The 23,202-nt window shown below is 34.2% G+C and overlaps 1 long non-coding RNA gene and 1 pseudogene across 2 annotated transcripts in view, besides 1 other annotated feature; one reads left to right on the forward strand and one right to left on the reverse strand.

Annotated features, from left to right (window-relative positions):
• The window catches only part of CLCA4-AS1 (CLCA4 antisense RNA 1), a 133,313-nt gene that overhangs the window by 62,919 nt on the left and 47,192 nt on the right, over positions 1 to 23,202 (reverse strand). The window lies entirely within an intron of this gene.
• CLCA3P (chloride channel accessory 3, pseudogene) lies at positions 177 to 21,277 on the forward strand (annotated as a pseudogene). Its single transcript, NR_024604.1, has 15 exons — positions 177 to 353; positions 1,501 to 1,641; positions 1,857 to 2,004; positions 2,701 to 2,809; positions 4,759 to 4,936; positions 8,445 to 8,669; positions 9,766 to 9,990; positions 11,878 to 12,055; positions 13,064 to 13,123; positions 13,218 to 13,318; positions 13,681 to 13,904; positions 14,206 to 14,476; positions 15,035 to 15,199; positions 16,059 to 16,298; positions 20,308 to 21,277. The product of NR_024604.1 is annotated as a chloride channel accessory 3, pseudogene (transcript).
• Positions 13,508 to 14,707: an enhancer, noted in NCBI's record as "MED14-independent group 3 enhancer chr1:87113290-87114489 (GRCh37/hg19 assembly coordinates)". NCBI's record gives its function as "activates an origin of replication core promoter dependent on BRD2, BRD4, P300/CBP and CDK7 cofactors, and independent of MED14, by STARR-seq in HCT116 cells {active_cell/tissue: HCT116}" and the evidence as "EXISTENCE:reporter gene assay evidence [ECO:0000049][PMID:35650434]".

Genomic DNA, 23,202 nt, shown 5'->3' on the forward strand with positions numbered 1-23,202 from the left:
TGCCTCAGCTGTCTTAGAAAGTATGATAAATGTGTTCAGCATAATCCCCATTGCTACTTAGCAACTCCAAGATATTTTAGCAATTTACTATACAAACTTTATGCAAATATTTTGGTCTTGATTCAAATTCCTAAGTTAAGCAGATACATAAATACCTTTGGTACATTTCCAAAAGGTTTGTTTAACATGCAAAAATGGTGTTCAGTCTGAAGGTGATTCTCTTCCTATCCTTGCTTCTCTCGCCTGTATTGAAAAGCTCACTGGTAACTTTGAATAACAATGGATATGATGGCATTGTCATTGCAATTAATCCCAGTGTACCAGAAGATGAAAAACTCATTCAAAACATAAAGGTAAGGGAAAATTTTATTATCCACATATTTTTATTTCAATATGTATTTTCAACTCATGGTGCCTAGGTATACACATTCATTGAGTGATAACTTTCCAAAATTTCTTCAACAGTATTTACCATTTATATAGCATTTATCTAAACTGTCAGATTAATACCTGCTGAGTTTAAATGTGTTTTATTATATGTTAATACTATTGGCCATTCCCCAGTGAATTATTAAAAGGCTGAACTAATATTTTTTCAACTAGTTAAGCTAACAGAAAGACATTACAGCAAGTAGAAAATTATTCTCAAATTTTATCTTCATAAAGTTACTTTTATAAAGTTTAGCTAACTAGTCTACACTTAAGCTCTAGCGTTTTATCCTATACATTTTTTCAGTTGTTCATACTTGTTCAAACTCTGGAAAAGTAAAAAAATCATATGTATCTTATCTTAAAGAAAAAATTACACATTTTAAATTGATGTACCTTCTTTATTTGCATTATTCAGTATAATAAAAAACACTTTATATATCACTTTAATATATACTATCTTCTTTGATCCTCCCAATATCCCCATGAGGAATTCAAAAACAAGAATTATTACCCTTGTATAAATGAAGTGATTTGTCAAATCTCACAATAAGTGCCAAAACTGGGATCTGAAGCCAATGAGACCTATGTATTTCTATTTTCATTTCCACTTGGTAAAACTTTGCCTTTTATGAACACACTCCATATGAGAAGATAACTCAAAATAAATCTAGCAAAATTTTTTTTTCAATTGACATCAATTATAATAATCTACCAGACTTTAAACTCCCAATTAATCTAAACAACCAGAAGCCATTCTGTTTGATCAAATGAACAACTTTACCAACAGCCTCCCAGTCTTAATCACCTTAATCTCACCCAGCACCCTCATTTCCATCTCCAACCCATCATGCTGAATGCAGGTAAAAAATTTTAAAAGGTGGTTTGAGCATATGAAAATAAGGAGTTTACAGACTGAAGAGTTGTAGAAAAATTCAATCTATTTTTCAATTAGTTTTCCCAAAATGTTTGGGGAAAGGAGGCTTAGATTTGCTTCATCTAGTTATATATGTACTGTTATGTTCATTTCACTATGAAATTATTACCACAAGGTATTTTAAATTTTGTCAGGAAATGGTAACTGAAGCATCTACTTACCTGTTTCATGCCACCAAACAAAGAGCTTATTTCAGGAATGTAAGCATTTTAATTCCAATGACCTACAAATCAAAATCTGAGTACTTAATCCCAAAACAAGAATCATATGACCAGGTAGGCTATTTCTTCTAACTCCTAAACTGCTTCTTTCCTCCTGTGCTTTTAAAAACTTAATATCTGTAATTATTTAATAATTACTAATCACTAATGTAGTAATTAAATTAGTAATATAACTTTTCTTAATGTATATGAAAAAAAGTCCTTGTTTCTAAAATCTCTTGTTTCTATTGTTTTCAAAATTTGTTTTTGTTTGTTCTTTTTCTTTTTAGGCAGATGTCATAGTTGCTGATCTTTACCTGAAATACGGAGATGATCCCTATACACTTCAATATGGACAATGTGGAGATAAAGGACAATATATACATTTTACTCCAAACTTCTTGTTGACTAATAACTTGGCTACCTATGGGCCTCGAGGTAGAGATATCTATGATGTACTTCTGTTCTTATTTCCACTGGTGGAAAAAAATAACTCTATGTTTAATGGCATTTAAAAAAAAATTTTAAAGAAGCCAGGCACAGTGACTGACACTTGTCATCCCAACAACTTAGGAGGCTGAGGTGGGAGGATCACTTGAGCCCAGGAGATAGAGACCAGCCTGGACAACAGAGTGAGCCCCCAGTCTCTAAAAAACTAAAAGTAAATTTTAAAAACTAGCCAGGCATGAGAGTGCATACCTGTAGTCCCAGCTACTTAAGAGGCTGATGCAGGAGGATCGCTTGAGGCTAGGAGCTTGAGGCTGCAGTGAGCTATGATCATGCCGCTGCACTCTAATCTGAGCAACAGAACAAGAGCAAGATCCCATCATTCAAGAAAACAAAACTAAGAAGAGAAAAATAGGTAGTAAATAATACCTTTACGTGAAAACATGCTAGTTATGCTCCTAATTATATTTCTCTGTGTGTGTGTGTGTGTGTGTGTGTGTGTGTGTTTAATAATAAAATGAGTCGTTTATTGGCACCAACTCATTTCAACTTTTTTGGCCTAATAAAAGGCATCAATTTCTGGAGTACCTTGACTCAATTAAGTTGGGGAGAGGTTTAAGAGAAATATAGGAAACTACCTTAAAATATTGTAACTATAAATTTATAAGTGGCAGTATTCTCTCACAGGTAGAGTATTTGTCCATGAGTGGGCCCATCTCCGGTGGGGAGTATTTGATGAGTATAATGTGGACCAGCCATTCTATATTTCCAGAAGAAACACTACTGAAGCAACAAGGTATCATTGTATTGAGCAAATCTGTTTTCAAAATTTTTCACTTATGACTCTTTAATTTTCTATGCTAGGCAAACAAAGGCTATCTCAGGTAACTACCTGGGAAAGTTCAAACAGTTCATTGCAATATCCAACCTGCCCCATCATGTATGCCACCAATTAATTCTAGAGATTCCACCTTGGCATCAAGATGAATCAAAAACAGGAAATAATTTCAGTATTCACAGGGACTGTGCTATAACATGTTATGGGCAGAGGGGAAGGAAAAAGCTGTAGCCTAAATCCCAAGATATCTGAGAATAGGTGGTTCAACCCTACCCACTCTTTTGTTTGACTTGATTCATCACTTTTTAAGGTAAATCTGTTTCACTGAAATCAGTTAAGCTGCTAGAGCTCCTTTGTAAATATCATATTATACTTTTCATTTAATCTTGATCTTAAAGAAAGTACTTTTCGTAACAGTAAGGTAGTAAGTTGATTTTTTAAAAATATAATTCTAGGTGCTGCAGGCACTATTATGAATAGATGAGATGTTTACACTTAGTTAAAAATATCAAGCACATGGAGTATTTAAACAATATTGAAGAACAGTGGAAGTTAATGTAATAGGAAATAAGTCTTTGCGATGAAAATGTATTTGAGGAAAGAGGGGTAATGGAAAAATGCCTCTCATCATCTCCATTGTGTTGTTCGTTTGATCTCCGCGGAGCTGCCTGCAGTTTTTCACACAGACTGGGCTCCTCTCAGTGCAGGACACTCATTTCTCTTAACTTCACCTACACAACTCCTCCCTTACTCAGATAATGCCTGTTCATCCTTTAAGACTCAGTTTAAATATTTCTTACTTAAATGTCTTTCCTCTCCCTCCATTTGGGGTTAAATTCCCTTAAGAGTACTCCCACAGCATGTGTGGGCTTCTCTCACACGTATGTCACTGGGCAGTAATTGTCTATACAATTTTATTTTCCCCATTAGACTTTAAAATTCTTAAGAACTGCACATTTTTTTAATCCTCTGGTGTTGGACCTGGCATAAAGTAAAAGCTAAACAAAGAATGTATCAAACAACAAATTTTTGATAAATTCATGAAAAATAAATGAGTTTCCTTATAATCAGTCATAAAAATAGATATATTAGTAAAAACAAGTATCTAAAACATTTATTGAGCTCCTACTGTGTGTCAGGCACTTTCAAGCAGTGAAGTCTCATCATATGTAAGTTTAATTTTCAAGCTTACTCAAGAACTAACCCTCTGGAAAATATGACTCCTCATGTCCCTAAATCCTTGCAATACAAACTTATTAAAATGGATTAATGTTATGAAGTTTAATATTAACACAGAATGGGAGGATATCCTGCATATAAACAGAAACTTTAGAATCCTGTCCCTGTACCCTGACCCTCATTCCCTGCCAAGGACTTGACAATTATTTTTACCATAAGGACCAAATGGTTTGAATGCACAAGCCTTTTCATGCGGGGTTTAGTTTTATTTCTTCCACCAGTTTAGTGAAGTGGTGCTCAAGATATAAATTACAAAATGCTATAAACACAAAACCATGAATACCACATACAGAAATTGAAGAGGATTTTAAGCATAATATTGTCTTTCCCTTTCCTATTAATAAGCAATTCCGCTGTACCTTTTAACTCATCTAATCTTTACAACATCTCTCTGGTTAGGAATTACCATCTTTAGCTCAAAGTCACAAGGATAATAGATTTATTGATTGCAATGACCAATTAATGTTTAATAAATATGAACTGACAACATTGTATCAATTGAAATCGATTACAAATTGAGGTAGAATATTGTGCCTATTTCTGTCAAAATGTAATGTTTGGTACATGATCTATGGCAGTTGTCACTGAAGGAAAAATTTTAGGATGTTGGTCTTCATTCATGATTTGCCAATTCTTCGTATATATATAATCTAATTCTTTCATCATAGATGTTCCACTCGTATTACTGTTTACATGGTTTTGAACGAATGCAAGGGGGCCAGCTGTATAGCACGACCATTCAGACGTGACTCAAAGACAGGGCTGTATGAAGCAAAATGTACATTTATCCCAAAGAGATCCCAGACTGCCAAGGAATCCATTGTGTTTATGCAAAATCTTGATTCTGTAAGTACCTTTTTTCCAGTTTCTCAAAGGAATCCTTGGGGAAAAATTAATTAGAGAAGCTGGATTTTCTGCTGTGAAATTATGCGTACCAATAGAAAGGCAGAAAATTACTAAGGCAATTAATTAGAGGTCATTTTCTCTGGCATGTATCAGGGTGTCTCTGGAAATTACCCTGTCTTTTCTTATTAACCTATTTCTTTTATTCAAATGTAGCACTGTAGCCTTCTCATTAGAGTCACACAATAAATTCTTAGAACACATCTCTTCCCTCACTGACTTCTGTGGACTTCTGTATAGAGTTACAATCTTACTTTTAATTCCTTTTCTAAGTGTTAGCCATATTACTTTTCTAAAGAAATTTATAATGTAGCTTTGAAAAGGATTGACATTTTAGATTTTCCATTACCTTCACACTAAAGCATACCAAGCTATTGCAAAGTGATATTGTGAAAACACATAGGGCTCTTTCTCCACTGAAAAGACTTAAGAAAAAAAAAAATTCACAATTACCAATGTGTCTAACCAATTAAATAATAACACACCACAAAAAAGTTGAAAACTAATGTTTGACCTGAAATATCTGCTTTAAATATATAAAGCTTAGTGCATAAGAATAGGTACCTTGGAGTCAGATAGACCTGATATTGAAACCCAGTCTGTCATTTTAAAGCTGTGTCCACTGTGGGAAAACTGCTAAATCTGAGATTGAGTTCTCTTATCTTTTATATGGGAATTATAATACCTACTTCACATAGTCATTCGTGTTGGGTTTAAAAGAGCTAATATAAAGTATTAGCATAGTGTTTAGCACAAGTTGAATGCGCTATAAACTTTAAGTTTTTAATTTTTAAAATTTATTAAATATTTGAAAAATAACCAGTTGTTTCTTCCCATGGATAAGTCTAATCTTAATTAATACAAACATATTGTATTTACCTAATGAACATTTCTAAACATATAAAAATATTTTAAAATATGAAATATATGAAAGTTATCAAAAACAACAAATCAAAACAAAGTACACTACCTCTAAATAGTGGGACTAACTTACTTCAAGGAAGCAAATTTTCACATACCAAATTTTCAAAGGTATATGACATATACCTTTACAAACCTCTGCTATAGAAGTATTTGTTGGTAGTGATTGGTATTTTCATATACCAATATCAAAATACTTCTATAGACCGAGGTTTGTAAAGGCCCAGTATCTCTGATAAAATTTAAAATTCTCTTGGGCATTAATGATAAAAGGCTTGACTACATTTGACACACGAGTCAGGAATGTTCCCTTTAATCTGCTAAATCTGGAGCAACAAAGGCTAGCCAAAGAGTTATGCGTACAAATAGATATCAAATCATGTGACACAAGAGGATAACTAGAATACTGTATGTACTGCCTGATCCGTACCATAAATTCTAAAAGCATTTGACCATCAGGAGATAACTCACGCTGCCTCTGGGACATAAATAATAATGAAGAAGATTATGGAGCTGAAATATGGAGGTCAACTAATTATATAAGACATGGCCCAGAGATAAAATGATTCCATTTCCAGAATAACACTAACTTCTAATTATCATAACATAAATATATTGCATAGCATCTGTACTGAGGGCATGAATTCAGAGCTACGAAAGATATGATCTAATATGCTGAATAGTCAACTCCATGATTTTGTTTCCTTATTATTTATTATTCCTTACGCCTAGTATTTACTGCATTAAGAGCTGGGAACACACATATAATTAAAGATGACTGTTCTTGAGGAACTCAGTTTACGGAGAAAGAGATATGATAAAATAAGTACATATTATTAAGTGGGAAGACATATATAGATATGAACCAAGTTTTATGAAGCAGTAACCATTGCCAACTGGAAGTCAGAAAACAGTTTCTGAACAGTGAGTTTTGAGTGGGGATTTGAGAAAAGTGAGTATGTATTTGCCAAAGTGAGAAGGGGAAGAGTATTCTATACAAAGAAACAGATTTACAAAAGCAAAGAGTGGAGTAAGGCAGGGATGCTGTGCATGATTCTGGAAGTTCAGCATTGCCTAAATTATTTGCATCATGGTCATTCAAGATTTTAACACTTATTAGAACAACTTTCTGGCAGATAACAGTAAAATAACTTGAGAAACTGGTGCTTTTTTCTGATTTGCACAAAATTACCATTTGGGTTAGCAAAGACCCTAATGAAAGTTTCTGGCATATTCTAAGGATATAAAGAAATCCAGTATGGTAGAAGCAAATAATACATGGTGAGTAAGAGGCAGGAAATTAGGTTGAAACAAAAAATGGGGACATACAGAGCTAAGGTGTTTGAGTTTTATCCTCTCAGTTTTAGACTGGTGATGTGATAAGTTTAATTATTTCAGGAAAGTAATCCTACTAATTGTGAAGGATGAGATAGAGAGAGTTGATAGTGGAGGCAAGGGAGACCAGTTGGAAGGCCATAGCAACAGGTAGGTAAGAGGCCCAAATAAAGGCAGTGGCAGTGGTAGGGGAAAGAGGAACCAGGTTTGATAGGCATTTCATACCAGCAAGACTTGGTTATGAATCACTGCTTTGATTGCAAACTACATTTTTCTCCCATCCAATATAACCCCATTTGGGAAATGTATCATCAGAAACAAAGCAAACTCATAAAACTTAGATAAAAGGTATTCAAATGTAATAATTTAGTTCTTCTAATTCTGAGCTTACATTTGGATATTTTACTTTGGGAGGGCATTAAAATAATGAAATGACTAAAAATATTTCTTGTAAGCTGAGGCTCATCTTGCAGTAGCAAGATGAATTCCTTCTTGGAGACCACCCTAGTTTATGAGAACATTTTTCCAAGTTACTACGTTTTCAATATTTAAAAAATTTTCACAGATTCTATAGTAATGAAATATTCATTGGCAGAATTACTGGATACAATTCACCACTTGCCTCTAACAGACAAATAATTATATTTCCTCATTTTCTCCCTATACTTTCATTCCTTTTTCAGGAGTATTACTGTATGTCAAAATTTGCCAGAGCCAATAGCAATCCAGGTTGTAGAATAGCTGTCCTCAAGTTTTTGATCAACTATGAAGATATGGAACATACCTAGATAATTAAAGAAGGCCATTTTCTCTATACCATTTTTAGGAGGTAGCTAGAAATTACCACAAGCCCTGCCCCTTTTTCCTCAAACTTAATTCAAGGCTTGAGCTCCCCCAAAGTTTAGAAGGGAAAGTAAAAAGTTAACATAAGCAGTCGTGCCAGCTGCCACAATCCACCACTGATGTAACTATCTATAACCAAAAGAATCACCAAAAATCTTTACCAGTACATATTGATAGCTTTACCTTGCTTCCGTTCCATTCTGATATGCAAATGGATGTCAGAATGTTAGATTATAAAGTAGTTTTTAACTATCAGGAGATAAAATCTGTGGATGATATGTATGACAGATAACTACATATTTGATGCCTCACAAGTTATTGTAATCTTGTCTTCTAATTGATTTTTTTCCAGGTGACTGAATTTTGTACTGAAAAAACACACAATAAAGAAGCTCCAAACCTATAGAACAAAATGTGCAATCACAGAAGCACATGGGATGTAATCATGAGCTCTGAAGATTTTCAGCATTTATCTCCCATGACAGAAATAAATTTACCTCGTCCTACATTTTCATTGCTCAAGTCCAAACAGCGTGTAGTCTGTTTGGTACTTGATAAATCTGGAAGCATGAATGCAGTAAGATAGTTTTTGGTTAACTGTCTTAAATTATTTAAGTATTTAAGCTACTAGAAATATAAGTATTAAGTATTTAGGCTGATGGAAATATAATCTTAGGTTTAGTTTTGGTAACAAACATACATATGTATTTATGTTCTAATAAATTTTAGCACATAATCTTATATAGATAAGTACTAGAAGACAATATGCCAACAGAAAAATGTTGTAGGCTGGGTGCAGTGGCTCACACCTGTAATCCCAGCACTTTAGGAGGCCAAGGCTGGTGGATCACCTGAGGTCAGGAGTTTGAGACCAGCCTGGCCAACATGGTGAAACCCTGTCTCTACTAAAAATACAAAAATTAGCTGGGAGTGGTGATGCACATCTGTAATCTCAGCTACTTGGGAGGCTGAGGCAGGAGAATTGCTTGAACCCAGGAGGTGGAGGTTGCAGTGAGCCAAGACTGCACCACTGCACTCCAGCCTGGGTGACAGAGATTGGATTATGAGTCATTTTTATTCCTTAACTTTTAGTTCTAACTAGAAAAATTATAGCCAAGCAAGAAAATGAAAATCATCCATAATTCTGTCATTGAAAATATGATACTTTAGTCTTTTCTTTGCTAATGTATTTGTTTTCCCTCCTCAAAAATATGATTATATTTTATATAATGTTTTATAATCTGATGATTTTTACTTAATATATCTTTAATATTCCCCATGAAAAAAATGATTCCATGACATAATTTTTAATGGCTGTATAACATGCCCATACTATAATTTCATCAAGCAATCTCCTGTTGTTGGACAGTTGGGAGATTTTCACTTGTTATTTTTTAAATGAGCATCTTTGTATGCATTTATAAAATTATTTCTTTAGGAGAAATTCCTCAATATACAATTAAATAAAAAGGTATAGATTTTTAAGGCTTTTTCAAGTATAACTGAATTTTTAAGATTTTCTTTAAATTTTTTAAATAAAATGAAGAAGCTAAATTTTAAAATACAACCAATCAATTATTATCATGACCTATGGTCCATAAATGGTTTGCCGTTCATTAATCCATCAAGATTTGGAGAGTCTTGTGAGTTATTCACAAATCTTTTTCTTACAGGAAGACCGTCTCTTTCGAATGAATCAAGCAGCAGAATTGTACTTGATTCAAATTATTGAAAAGGGATCCTTGGTTGGGTTGGTCACATTTGACAGTTTTGCTAAAATCCAAAGTAAGCTCATAAAAATAATTGATGATAACACTTACCAAAAGATCACTGCAAACCTGCCTCAAGAAGCTGATGGTGGCACTTCAATTTGCAGGGGACTCAAAGCAGGATTTCAGGTAAAATAAAAATATTTTTAAAATATCATTTGCCATTTACTATTGCTTTTAATTTTCTCCAGTTACCTTTGAACAAAGGGCATGAGTTCATGGGCCCCTCAATTAATAATATTATGACCTGATCAAGGTAAATCATTTATGGGAAGAAAAAAATAGCCTTTCCTACTGTTTACAACTAGACCCTCTCTGAGTATGGCTATTCCAATGACATACTCCTGAGGTGCTAAGTTGCACTGGGGAGTGGTTAAGTAAGTGGGGAAAATTTCAGCCTGCACACAATCATGATTTTATTGGGGAGCTCCCCATTTTTCTAACACTCCCACAGTCTGAGTTTCAAGGATCAGAAAATAATGCCAATGAGGGGATTATGGAAAAGGGAAATTAGTAACATTTCCATATGATGGATAAGGAAAGCCCCAGTTTATCAAGTTAAATTGACATTTAAAAATCACAAAGAGGCTGGATGCGGTGGTTCACGCCTGTAATCCCAGCATTTTAGGAGGCCAAGGCAGGTGGATCACCTAAGGTCAGGAGTTCAAGACCAGCCTGACCAACATGGTGAAGCCTCATATCTACTAAAAAACAAAAATTAGCCGGGCATGGTGGTGCAAGCTTGTAATCCCAGCTACTCTGGAGGCTGAGGCAGGAGAATCGCTTGAACCCAGGAGGTGGAGGTTGCAGTGAGCTGAGATCGCACCATTGCACTCCAGCCTGGGCAGCAAAGCAAAACTCTGTCTCAAAAATAAATAAATAAATAAATAAATAAATAAATAAATAAATAAATTACAAATTTTAAAAATTAAAAAAAATTAAAAGTCATAAAAATAAGCCAGGTACGGTGGGTCATGCCTGAATCCCAGCACTTTGGGAGTCTGAGGCAGGCAGATCGCTTGAGCTCAGGAGTAGGAGACCAACTTGGCCAACATGGGGAAATCTTGCCCCTACAAAAAATAAAATCAGCCAGGCATGGTGGTGTGTGCCTGTAGCCCCCGCTACTTAGGGGGCTGAGATGGGAGGATGGCTTGAGCTCTAGAGGCAGAGATTGCAATGAGCCACGATCATGTCACTGTACTCCAGCCTGGGCAACAGAGTGAGACCCTGTCTAAAAAAAAAGAAAGAAAAAATAATCATAAAGATAGAGGTAGCTCCATACGCAATATAGTACCAAACCTAACAAACATAGATTGAAGTTTAATGTAATTAAAATTGTGAACTCAAAAAATTGGGAGCACCTTTGGAGCACTATACCCAATTGCCTCCAGTACTCATTTGAATTCCTTCCAACCTAACTTTCATTTAAGCCTATTTACTGTCATGTTTTAAGCCACAAAAACAGAAAACTACTTCCTTCACTGACCTCTCTTTGCCTCAAAATGGAGATTGCTAGTCTTATCCAGGCCATTGATTAATACTACATCTCAACTTTCCTCATAGTGTCTATTTGTGATGAAATGTGTTAGTTTAAGAAGGCAGGAAATCCTGAGTAAGAAGAACAGGTTTATTCTTATTTTAAATATATTAAGATATGGGCCAGGCATGGTGGCTCACGCCTAATCCCAGCACTTTGGGAAGCAGAGGCAGGCAGATCACCTGAGGTCAAGAGTTCAAGACCAGCCTGGCCAACATGGTGAAACCCCATATCTACTAAAATATAAAAATTAGCCAGGCATGGTGGTGGGCGCCTGTAATCCCAGCTACTTGGGAGGCTGAGGCAAGAGAATCACTAGAAGCTGGGAAGTGGAGGTTGCAGTGAGCCAAGACTGTGTCATTGCACTCCAGCATGGGCAACAAGAGCAAAACTCCATCTCAAAAAAAAAAAAATATATATATATATATGTATAAAGATATGACATTCTATAATTAATAACCTGGCTTTTTCATTATCAGGCAATTCCCCAGAGTAATCAGAGTACTTTCGGTTCTGAAATCATATTACTAACAGATGGGGAAGATTATCAAATAAGCTTATGCTTTGGAGAGGTAAAACAAAGTGGCACAGTCATCCACACCATTGCTCTGGGGCCGTCTGCTGACGAAGAACTGGAGACCCTGTCAAATATGACAGGTAAACCTTTGGCATATAGTTTGAATAAAAAATAAATTTCTAGTCTCTCCCATTCCAGGGGTTCTTTCTCTATAAATCTGCTCAAAATTTTCATATCCTAAAAATTAATCTTTGTCCCTTCTTCATCCTTCAGATTAAGTTCTTTTCCCTTTCTTCCACTTCATACACCAGTTTTTTTCTAATGTTATTTAACATTTGCTGTCTTCATTCCCCGCCCAGTTTCTGCCAATGCTACTAAACAGAAACTTATTTCTCTATGGTTACTCAACTGGAAGTCAAAAATTATTGCTTAATTCCAAAATACTACCCAATCACACAGTAGAGATTTTGACAATCTTCTTTTATAGATGAGGAAATGGAAACCTAGAGAGTGCAAATGATTTGCCAAAGGCCATAGAGTCCTGATTCTCAATTCAGAGCTCTTCCACCGTACTACCCTATTCTTGCTTCACCAAATCTTGCTAAATCTTCGTTTGGAACATTTCTGTATTTCACCTTTCTATACAATCCTTCTACCACTGCCATTATAATCCAGCCCTTACAATTCCCTGACTGGGATACTTCAATAACCTTCCAGCTTATTTTTCTGCCATTTATCAGTTCAATAAATATGTATTGACTGTTGTATTTGTGGCAGTCACTTGCGTTAATTCTTGCCCTCTGCAATCTATCCTTTCCTAACTCCTTACACCTAAGTAATCTCTCTCTTCATTAATTTCTACGTTATTTATTTCCTGCACTTAATTTTTAATTTATTGTAGACTGTAATTCTCTAATTGTTTTGGTGTACCTTAGACCCAACTAGAAGATAAACAGCTGGTTCAGAACTATCTTAAATTTCATTTTTATAACATTGTTTAGTGCTTAGACCAGCTTTACCAATGCGGCAGGCACTTACATTTGATGACTGATTGATGTAAAAACAATACAATTTGGCCTGTTCTTTAAAGTTTCTTTTATTCTTACTTATCTTTCTTATTTTGAGCAAGGTTTTAATTATTATTGTAGGATTACATAAGGGACACTGATATACTGAAAGTTCATAAAGTGCTGGGAAGTTCATCTTTTGTAAGTTTAAAACAAAATTTTAAAATAGATTTTAAAGTGTATTGATGAGAGCAAAATAACAAATATGACTTTTCCACTTAAAATTCGATTTTAGGAGGACATCGTTTTTATGCCCATAAAAACATAAATGGCCTTATTGATGCTTTCAGCAGAATTTCATCTAGAAGTGGCAGCATCTCTCAGCAGGCTCTTCAGGTCAGTGTAAAAAAAAACTATTTTCTTTCTCACAGTTGTAATAAATTTATATTATCCTAATTATTAACTCCTATCTCTCAAATAATTCTTTTGCCTGAAAATATTTCAGATATGCAGAAGAAAAACTTCCTTACTGAATTTGATTTTCCATAACACTTAAAGCCACATCTTCTCCCGAATTCTTCTATTCTTTAGAATTAGGTATCCTTTTCATTTGGAAAATTCTTTAAAATAACTCTTAGTTATTTTAATTGAAATCTTAAAAACAAACAAAATTACTCTAAACTGACTAAACTCGGAAATTTTATTAACTATGATAACAAATGGATTTCATGTGTTTGTTGTTTTTATTTACCGAACAGTTGGAAAGTAAAACTTTGAATATCCCAGCGAAGAAATGGATAAATGGTACAGTGCCTGTGGATAGTACAGTTAGAAATGATACTTCCTTTGTTGTCACATGGACGATACAAAAGCCAGCAATAATTCTTCAAGATCCAAAAGAAAAAAATATACTACCTCAGATTTTCAAGAAGGTGAACTAAATATTCGGTCTGCCCGTCTTCGAATACCAGGTATTGCAGAGGTAGGTCTATTATTTTATGTTCTCTAAGTTTTCTTAATCAATTTCTATTTTTAAAAGATAAAAATAACATAGATAACATCTTATACATTGCCAATATTAAAATGATGACAGATCATCTGTAATAAAGAAATCAAATGGAATAATTAGGGATTCATATTCATACTATTTACTAGTTTGTGAAATTCAATATTAAAAATCATGATTATTATTCTGCTTAAATTTGTAAATAATTTTGTATTCCAAACAAAAAGTAGGAAAATATTACCAAAGCTCTCAGACAGATTTTTTTTTAATGTTTCAGACAGGCACTTGGACTTACAGCGTTCGAAACAATCATACCAAATCTCAATTGCTAACTGTGACAATGACCACTCGAGCAAGAAGCCCTACCACACTCCCAGTAATTGCAACTGCTCACATGAGTCAAAATACAGCTCATTACCCTAGCCCAGTGATTGTTTATGCATGAGTCAGTCAAGGGTTTCTTCCTGTTCTGGGAATCAATGTAACAGCCATTATAGAAAATGAAGAGGGACATCAAGTAACATTGGAGCTCTGGGACAATGGCGCAGGTAATAAGAATCTACATCAACTTCCACTAAACTTAAAATCCTCCTACAGTTCTATGACCTAGAAGTCAATATTTCCTGTATTTGCTAATGAATCATATTTTTAAGTAAATGAAATTTAATCCTAATGTTTTAAAAACTTTTTTCTCAGTTATCTTGACAACTCATAGACATAGCACTTATGCCATTTTTAAATTTTATGAACAATTTTGCTTTTTCCATGGAACTTAAGAGCACAATTTTTCTCTATTTTCATTAATGTCAGTGTTTCATATATGCTTTCTTCAGTTGCTTTTTCTTATTTTGATAAGTATTTTTTATGAAATAATAGTAACAGCTAATATTAATTGAATCCCTTCCATGAATTAGACTTTTCCAAAAACACAGAGTTAGCAAGTGGCCCAAGCTTTCAACCAAAATAGTCTGATTCCAGAATTCATGTACTTAAAACGCTGTGCTACATACTATCTCCCAAATTACTAACATTATCAGTGTTCATAAACAGATATGACTGTCATTTTTACTTTATTGTATGACTAATTTTTACATTTCATTATCAAGGTGCTGATTCTGTCAAGAATGATGGCATCTACTCAAGGTATTTTACAGATTACCATGGAAATGGTAGATACAGTTTAAAAGTGCTTACCCAGGCAAGAAAAAACACAGCTAGGCTAAGTCAACAACAGAATAAAGCTCTGTATGTACCGCGCTATGCTGAAAATGGTAAGTAGCACTAAAATAGAAATGTGTCACTTGTTTAGATAAATTCCATACGGCAAACATTGAAAATATAATGTACTACAGAAAGCCCAAGTATATAACCTTGTAATCATCTGTATGTTTCAAAACCATGTTGATATTAGTAGACCTAGCATAGACCTATGTTTCCACATATTTTGTTCACATCTCCCTGAGTTCATTTCATTTACATTGAAAAAAAAATTACTGAGCACCTACTATGTTGCAAGCACTGTGCTTAGGTGCTAGAGCTACAAAGACAAAACATAATCCTGTTCCTCAAAGAATTTGCAGTCAAGTAGTAGAGACAGAGAAGTTAAAAGATAGTTTTAACATAGCATAATGTTTCCTCATCAATTTTAAAATATGAATAAACAAGTGTTTTCTCAGTAAAAACTGTTACTTTTTCAATGTCTGCCAATCAATATTAAGCCTCTACAGCTGCAAGATCAGCTTGCAAGATGAATAGGCACCGCTGCCGGGCGCGGTGGCTCACACCTGTAATCCCAGCGCTTTGGGAGGCCGATGAGGGTGGATCACCTGAGGTCAGGAGTTCCAGACCAGCCTGGCCTACATGGCTAAACCCCGTCTCTACCAAAATACAAAAATTAGCTGGGCGTTGTGGCGGGCGACTGTAGTTCCAGCGACTCGGGAGGCTGAGGCAGGAAAATCGCTTAAACCCAGGAGGCGGAGGTTGCAGTGAGCCGAGATCACGCCACTGCACTTCAGCCAGCCTGGGCGACAGAGCGAGACTCCATCTCAAAAAACAAAACAAAAAAAATAAAAAATAAAATAAAAGAGTAGACATGGCAATATGAAATATTACAAAATTTTTTCTTGGTAGGAAAAATTATACTGAACCCATCCAAACCTGAAGTCACAGATGATGTGGAAGGAGCTCAAACAGACGACTTCAGCAGACTCATCTCTGGAGGGTCGTTTACTGTATCAGGAGTGCCTCCTAATGGTAATCATTCTCAGGTGTTCTCACCTGGTAAAATTGTAGACCTCGAGGCTAAGTTTCAAGGAGATCATATTCAACTTTCATGGACTGCCCCTGGCAAGGTCCTCGATAAAGGAAGAGGTAAGTTTGACATTACGTTTTAAAATATACTAAAAGAAATCCCATTGGCTTTCATTTGCTAAGAATTTTCTAATGGCCCATTTATAAATAACATTTATGAAGTGTCTACTATAGGCCATTTTTAAATTATTTTCAGATGTGAAAACTAAAGCTATAAGAGTTGATTGGACCAAGTTATTTCTATATTTAGTAACTTACAATTCTAACCCAGTCATGTCAGATTCTGTTATGCCAAACTATCTGTCAGAAATTGAAGCAGCTTAGAAATTACTTTGAGAGGACAGTTAACAGCTTTCTGTTGCATTATCTTCTCCCCAAATTTTAAGTATTTCTGTACTTGCACAGTTTCATTCATTTATCAACCTTCTGTTGAGCTTTCACACTATTAGAATCCTAAGAAATGATCCATACTCTCAACAGTCAATTAAGTACAGAAGACACACAAGTAAACAGATAATTACATAAAGTATAATAAGACATAAGCTTTTATAAACAGAGAATTATGTGGCAACCCATAGATGGGCCACAAACCCCTAGTTAGAGGTTAAAATCAGAGTATATTGTAAAGCCTTCCCAGAGAAGACTATCACTGAGTATTGAAGAATGAGAGTAGTTACCCAAGATAAGTGAAGGTGTCCACAGAGAGAGATGTTCATGTGCACAGAAATTCACTAGTTTGAAAGATTTGTTCATGGAGTTTGAATAAAGTTCAAGGTCAAAAGATCTCATTTATTCAAAGTTCCTAATGATAAATGACCCTCACTCCAAAAAGTTTAAATTACTTCTGTCATTGCTTGAAATTTAACTGAATTCAATCAGTATTTATTGAATGCCTACCATATTCCAGTATTACATAGGTTAGTAGATTTTTATGGGATAACGCCAGTCTTGCTATTTTCCCTTTAAGATTGGGAAAATGAAAGCAATATGCAATTTAGATATACATAATAGCTCAGAGATTGCCAGTGCTAAAACACCAGTGTTCCAGTACTCTTTCTCCTGGATTACAATAAACCCCATTGTACACTCTCAAAAGAAAAGATGCTTCTTAATCTTTCACTCACTATATAGCATTTTAAAAGCTGCATTTCTTATTATCATTATTATACAAGGAGAATATCATTCTAAAGTCAGAGGAAACAGAATATGCACAAACAGAGCTTTTGTATTTCAATGTTGAAAATCTTATCATGACAGCTTTTTGCATACCTTATTTTCTCATGCTATGACCCTTAAACATATGGCAGAATCAAAAAAAGTGAAAAATACCATTGCCACTGAAAAAGCCACAAATGAAATTTCTTAACCAAATATTTAGTTCTATAGTGAATTCAGTAAAAACCAAGCTTTCAGTTCAAGATTGGGTTCATAATAAATATCCCTCATGCTGATTATAAGAACTAAAAGTAGGAGTAATGTATAACCACAAATGCCTAAAATAGGTGGCATCTAATCTTTGTCTTTCCTTAGGAAAAATAGGAAGAGGTATTGGTACCTGTTAAATGTTACCTGTAGATATTCCAAAGGTAAGATAGTAGCAGTATCTTAAAGAATAAATGAACGTCTATATAATCTCAAATGAAGCACTTAAATTACCTGGGACACAATTTCCTCACCTGTCAAATATACAAATTAGATTAGATTACCTAAAATTACTAAAACAAGTAGATATAATTCAAATTTTTTATGATTTTCTAATTTTATCATTTTGGGTGTCAACTTAACAACTGTATTGTTGGCCAAGTAATTAAGGAGATCAAATACATGTCAACACAGGACCAGGTACCCTGAGTGATACAAAGAGTAAAAAACATAGTCTTTACCCTCAAAAATAATAAGATCTAATCAGAATGAAAAGTTGAACCTCTACTAAACTATCTGAAAAACTCCACTCCATGAAACAGAAGTTCATGAAAGAGAGTCATCAGGGTGAATGAAATACTTGGACGGAACTTCATGCAGTTGGGCTTGGTTGGACCTTAAAGAATGAGTACAATTTGCATATATAGGGAGAAGGAGGTACATTTTGGAGAGAGAAAGAACAAAATTATATGATCAAGGTCAAGAAAGCAAAATTTCACAATGGAATATTCTAATTAAAATAAGAAATAGGTGGAGAGAAGAGAGACAGAGAGACCTACGTAAGTGGAACACAAGGTTTTTGTGAAGAGTAGTAGAACGGATTGATAAGGCCTATTTAAAAGGAAACTAAATGTTAAGCAGAGGATCTGAATTATTTTTAAAAATACACTAAAAGTTATTCACCACACACTTGAAATACCTTCAATATTTCATGGAAAAGTTAAAAATAAAGTCCTTACTCCAAAAAAAATCTGGTGTTTTATTTTTCATCACATTTCAGAATGTGAGAATATATTTCTACATGAATGGTAGATATCAAAAAGCAGTGTAGAAAGAAACATTTATGTTGGCATCTTCTTTTCCTTTCTTGATAAAATAACAGCCAATATTTCAAACATTTATTAATTTACCATTTATTAAATTGTAGTGAACATGTTTCATGCATTATCATCTATGATTCTTACCACTAGAATAGTAGGCACTCAATAAATATTTGTTGAATGATTTGAATAACTGAATCCCTATTTTAACAGATAAAAAACTAGAGATAAGGAAACTTAAGTCGGGGTGCGGTGGCTCATGCCTGTAATCCCAGCACTTTGGGAGGCCGAGGTGGGCGGGTCACAAGGTCAGGAGATCGAGACCATCCTGGCCAAAATGGTGAAACCCCTTCTCTACTGAAAAAAAAAAAAAAATTAACTGGGCATGGTGGCGCATGCCTGTAATCCCAGCTACTCGAGAGGCTGAGGCAGGAGAATCACTTGAACCAGGGAGTCAGAGGTTGCAGTGAGCTGAGATGGCACCACTGCACTCCAGCCTGGCGACAGAGCAAGACTCTGTCTCAAAAAAGAAAAGAAAAGAAAAAAAAAAGAAAAGATATCTTAAATAAATTTCTTTTTATGACACAGCTAGCAAGTAGTAAAATTAGGGTGCTACTCAAGGTTTGTCTAGGTCCTTAACACATATTTACTTTTATTTTTTATTTTCATATTTTTAAATTTTTAATTTTTGTGGGTACATAGTAGGTGTATATATTTATAGGGTACATGAGATTTTGATCCAGGCATGCAATGTGAAATAATCACATCATGGAGAATGGGGTATCCATCCCCTCAAGCATTTATCCTTTATGTTACAAACAACCCAACTACACTCCTTTAGTTATTTTTAAATGTATAATTAAGTTATTTTTGACTATTGACTATAGTCACTCTGTTGTGCTGTCAAATAGTAGGTCTTATTCATTCTTTCTAACTGTTTTTTTGTGCCCATTAACCATCCCCACCTTCTCCTACCCAGTCCCCCACTACCCTTCCCAGCCTCTAGGAACCATTCTTCTACTCTGTATGTCCATGAGTTTAATTGTTTTGATTTTTAGATCCCACAAATAAGTGAGAACTTGCGATGTTTGTCTTTCTGCTTAGCACGTGTTTAATTAGTACACATTCCAGTCTCTCTGCCTCCTTTTGCTGGTTATCCTTATCCCTGTTTCCCACTCCATTTATCATCTCTCTTTCTCCCCTGTCCTATTACTTCCTATTTTAACTTAATAAGAAATGACACAGATATAGGGTACTGAATATCTTCGCTATACTACAATACTATTATGTTCCTTGTTCTAAATTAAAAAGTAGATCCAGCTCCTTATATTTCTCTCCCTAAAAAGGAAAACACCAGAGTCTGACTTTTTAGTACCATATGATTTTGAATTAAAATTTCCTGGGATTAGAGAACTCTACATTTTAAGAAAAACTGTTCACACATTTGTCCTTACAATAAAGATGGAATAACCAGACAAAAACTAATGGGATTTCCATAACTAAAACCTAGTGTGCATTTCTGATAGGTTTCTAAATGTAAAGCAGTGTGGTGGTAGCAAGGCATCCTAGTGATTTTAATATATCTGAAGTATCTATTTGTTTTCCAGCTGAGAGCTACATTATAAGAATAAGTAAACATTTCCTGGACCTCCAAGAAGATTTTGATAAAGCTGCTTTAATAAATACTTCTGGTCTGATACCTAAGGAGCCTGGTTCAGTAGAAAGTTTTGAATTTAAACCAGAACCTTCTAAAATAGAGAATGGTACGACATTCTATATTGCAATTCAAGCCATCCATGAAGCCAATGTCACCTCAGAGGTTTCAAACATTGCACAAGCAACTAACTTTATTCCTCCACAGGAACCCAGCATTCCTGATCTGGGTACCAATATTTCTGCAATCAGTTTGGCAATTTTTGGATTAGCTGTAATTTTATCTATATTTTAAACTAGAAATTATATTAGAACTCAAATTCAATGTTATACATACTTGGTAAACATTTATTTAAAATTTAATTTACTATACTTATTGTCTATTATAAAGCTCATTATAATATAAAAGTGAAGTACAAAAGTTGTAAGTTTCCTAATTACTTGATTAATTAATACTATTTGAGTTATTAAATGTTAATCAAAATGAGTATATCATTTCCTGTCTTTGAATAATCCACTCATTAATTTTTAATATGAAAAGATATATATTTGTACTTGTAAGCATTTTAAGAAACATTTTTAAAGTGTGCTACAAATTCATTTGGTGTACTAACATCAAAATGTATCCAAGCCATTTAAAAAATATTTATATATACATAGTAGCAAATAGTTTTATAGATTTATTTGTATCGCATTTTTTATTACAAATGAATATTTCATGTTTATATAAGCTGTAATCAAAAAGGACTAGTAGTAGTAGTAAGGAAGTCAAATTTGTTTTTTTATCATTGATTATAAGTGGTATATTTGTTTTTTGTCATTGATTAAAAGTGATTTTAGCCCTAGGCCCGAAATGACTAGCAAATATCATTTTCTGTATGAATTGTGGAACATCACAATAAAATTATTTCTGTGCTGATGCTATCATTAGGTCCTAAGACTATTACCAAGAAGCTTGATTGAGACAGGGATTTTTCTTTTTCCTATTGCTGTATCCTCAGCATTTAGAATAATAATTGACACATAGAAGATATTCAATAAATATTTTTTAAATAACTTAGTGAATACTTTTATAACTTCAAAAAAATCCAAATTTGACCTCATTACATTAAAAAAATACCACAAACTATCATGTGCACTTGGTATTATGAGGACTTCATATAATGAAAACTAAATCCCTTAATAACATAGTTCAAAACCAACACATAAAGTTTCAGAAAGTTAACTATTAATAGAATTTAGAAGGTAATAAAAGGTAAATTGAGCTATTAATATAGCAATGGAGTGATTTTTCTTAGAAAGACAGAGAAGGACATATTGGTAGAAAATCCTTTGTTTACAGACAAGAAGGTTATTTAAATCTCTTTAAATATCTGAAAGGAAGATGCTGTATATATCTGGAAGAGTCAAGAAAAAAATTATAAATCATTAGCAAACCAAATCCAGAAAAATATATGAAAAATAATAATATATCATGACCAAGTTGAATCTATCTCAGGAACCCAAATGTGATTTAATACTAGAAAATTAAAGTAATTTACTACATTAACAGTTTTTGTTTAGTTATATGATTATCTCAATACATGCAGAAAAGTGTAATTCAACCATCATTCTTCAGTCAAAATGAAACCTATGAAAACTATTAACCTGATATTTTAATCTTAAAGTCAAAACCCTCACCTTTTAAAAATAAACAAAAAGGGCACTAAATCTTCAAGTAGAGATGAAAAATTATACATCAGAGGGTGAGAATTCTAAGTTCTAGGAAAATAAATCACTTAAGAGTCAACAAATAATAAAAAAATTATTGATTATGAAAGCCTCAAAGAGTCAAGAGATAGTTAACTGATTGTTAATACATGGTCACTATACTGAATAATTTATAGAGCTTTAGAAGTTAATGAGGGAAGATTCCTATGCAATAAAAAAAGAATAGAAGATACAATAATTTGAAAGAAAGATACGAAATTGTAATTTTGTACAGGTGAGATGGAAATCCAATAAAATCAACAAATAATTAAAATGAGAGAATTATGAAAAATTCCCAGATACAAGATCAATTTACTAAAAATCAATAGCACTAGTCTGATATATACAGAGCTTTGAAGTTGTCACTCCCCACCTCACAACAAGAAAAAAAAAGCTGAACTGAAAAATAAAGAATTCTTCGTAGTTTCATCAGAAAGTTGAAGTCACACTGCAACCTGCTACAAAAATATTGGAGAGGCAGAAAAATACAGAATCACAGCTTACCAGGAGCAGAAACCTATCAGTGAAGCTAATACCAGTAGGAACACAAACCGTAAACGAAGACATGCCAGAGGCTGAGTGTGAATAAGGCTGAGAGTTAAAAACTCTCAGAGGCCTTAGAGAGACCTCCATACTTCCCTGAGTTTTTCTTCCAAGAACCCCATGAAGTTTTCAGAGTGGGATTAAAGAAAAATCCCCTCAGACTCTCAACATCAGAGACGTAAAAGTAACCATTTTGAAATATACCAAAAGTGTCCTGTTCTTAGCAAAAGCCTGTCCTCAAGGGAAACTGTTTTACCAGAGCCTGACTAACTTAGGTTTTACAAGGGCCTAACCAACTTAGGGGAAGAGAAATACCCAACTCCAATCTCCCCTAGCCTTCCTTGTGGCAGAGGAAGATACTCAACTCCGGAGCCCTCTAACATTCCTATCTGATCAAAGAGGGGGAAAAAACAGACACTAGGAAGGGAACAACAGACACTGGGGCCTACTTAAGGTTTGAGGGATGGAGAACGGTGAGGATCGGAAAACCACCTAACAGGTACTGTGGTACTAGGTTTGTTACCTGGATGATGAAATAATCTGTACACCAAGCCCCT

This window comes from Homo sapiens, chromosome 1 (assembly GCF_000001405.40).
Source record: "Homo sapiens chromosome 1, GRCh38.p14 Primary Assembly".
Taxonomy (NCBI): domain Eukaryota; kingdom Metazoa; phylum Chordata; class Mammalia; order Primates; family Hominidae; genus Homo; species Homo sapiens.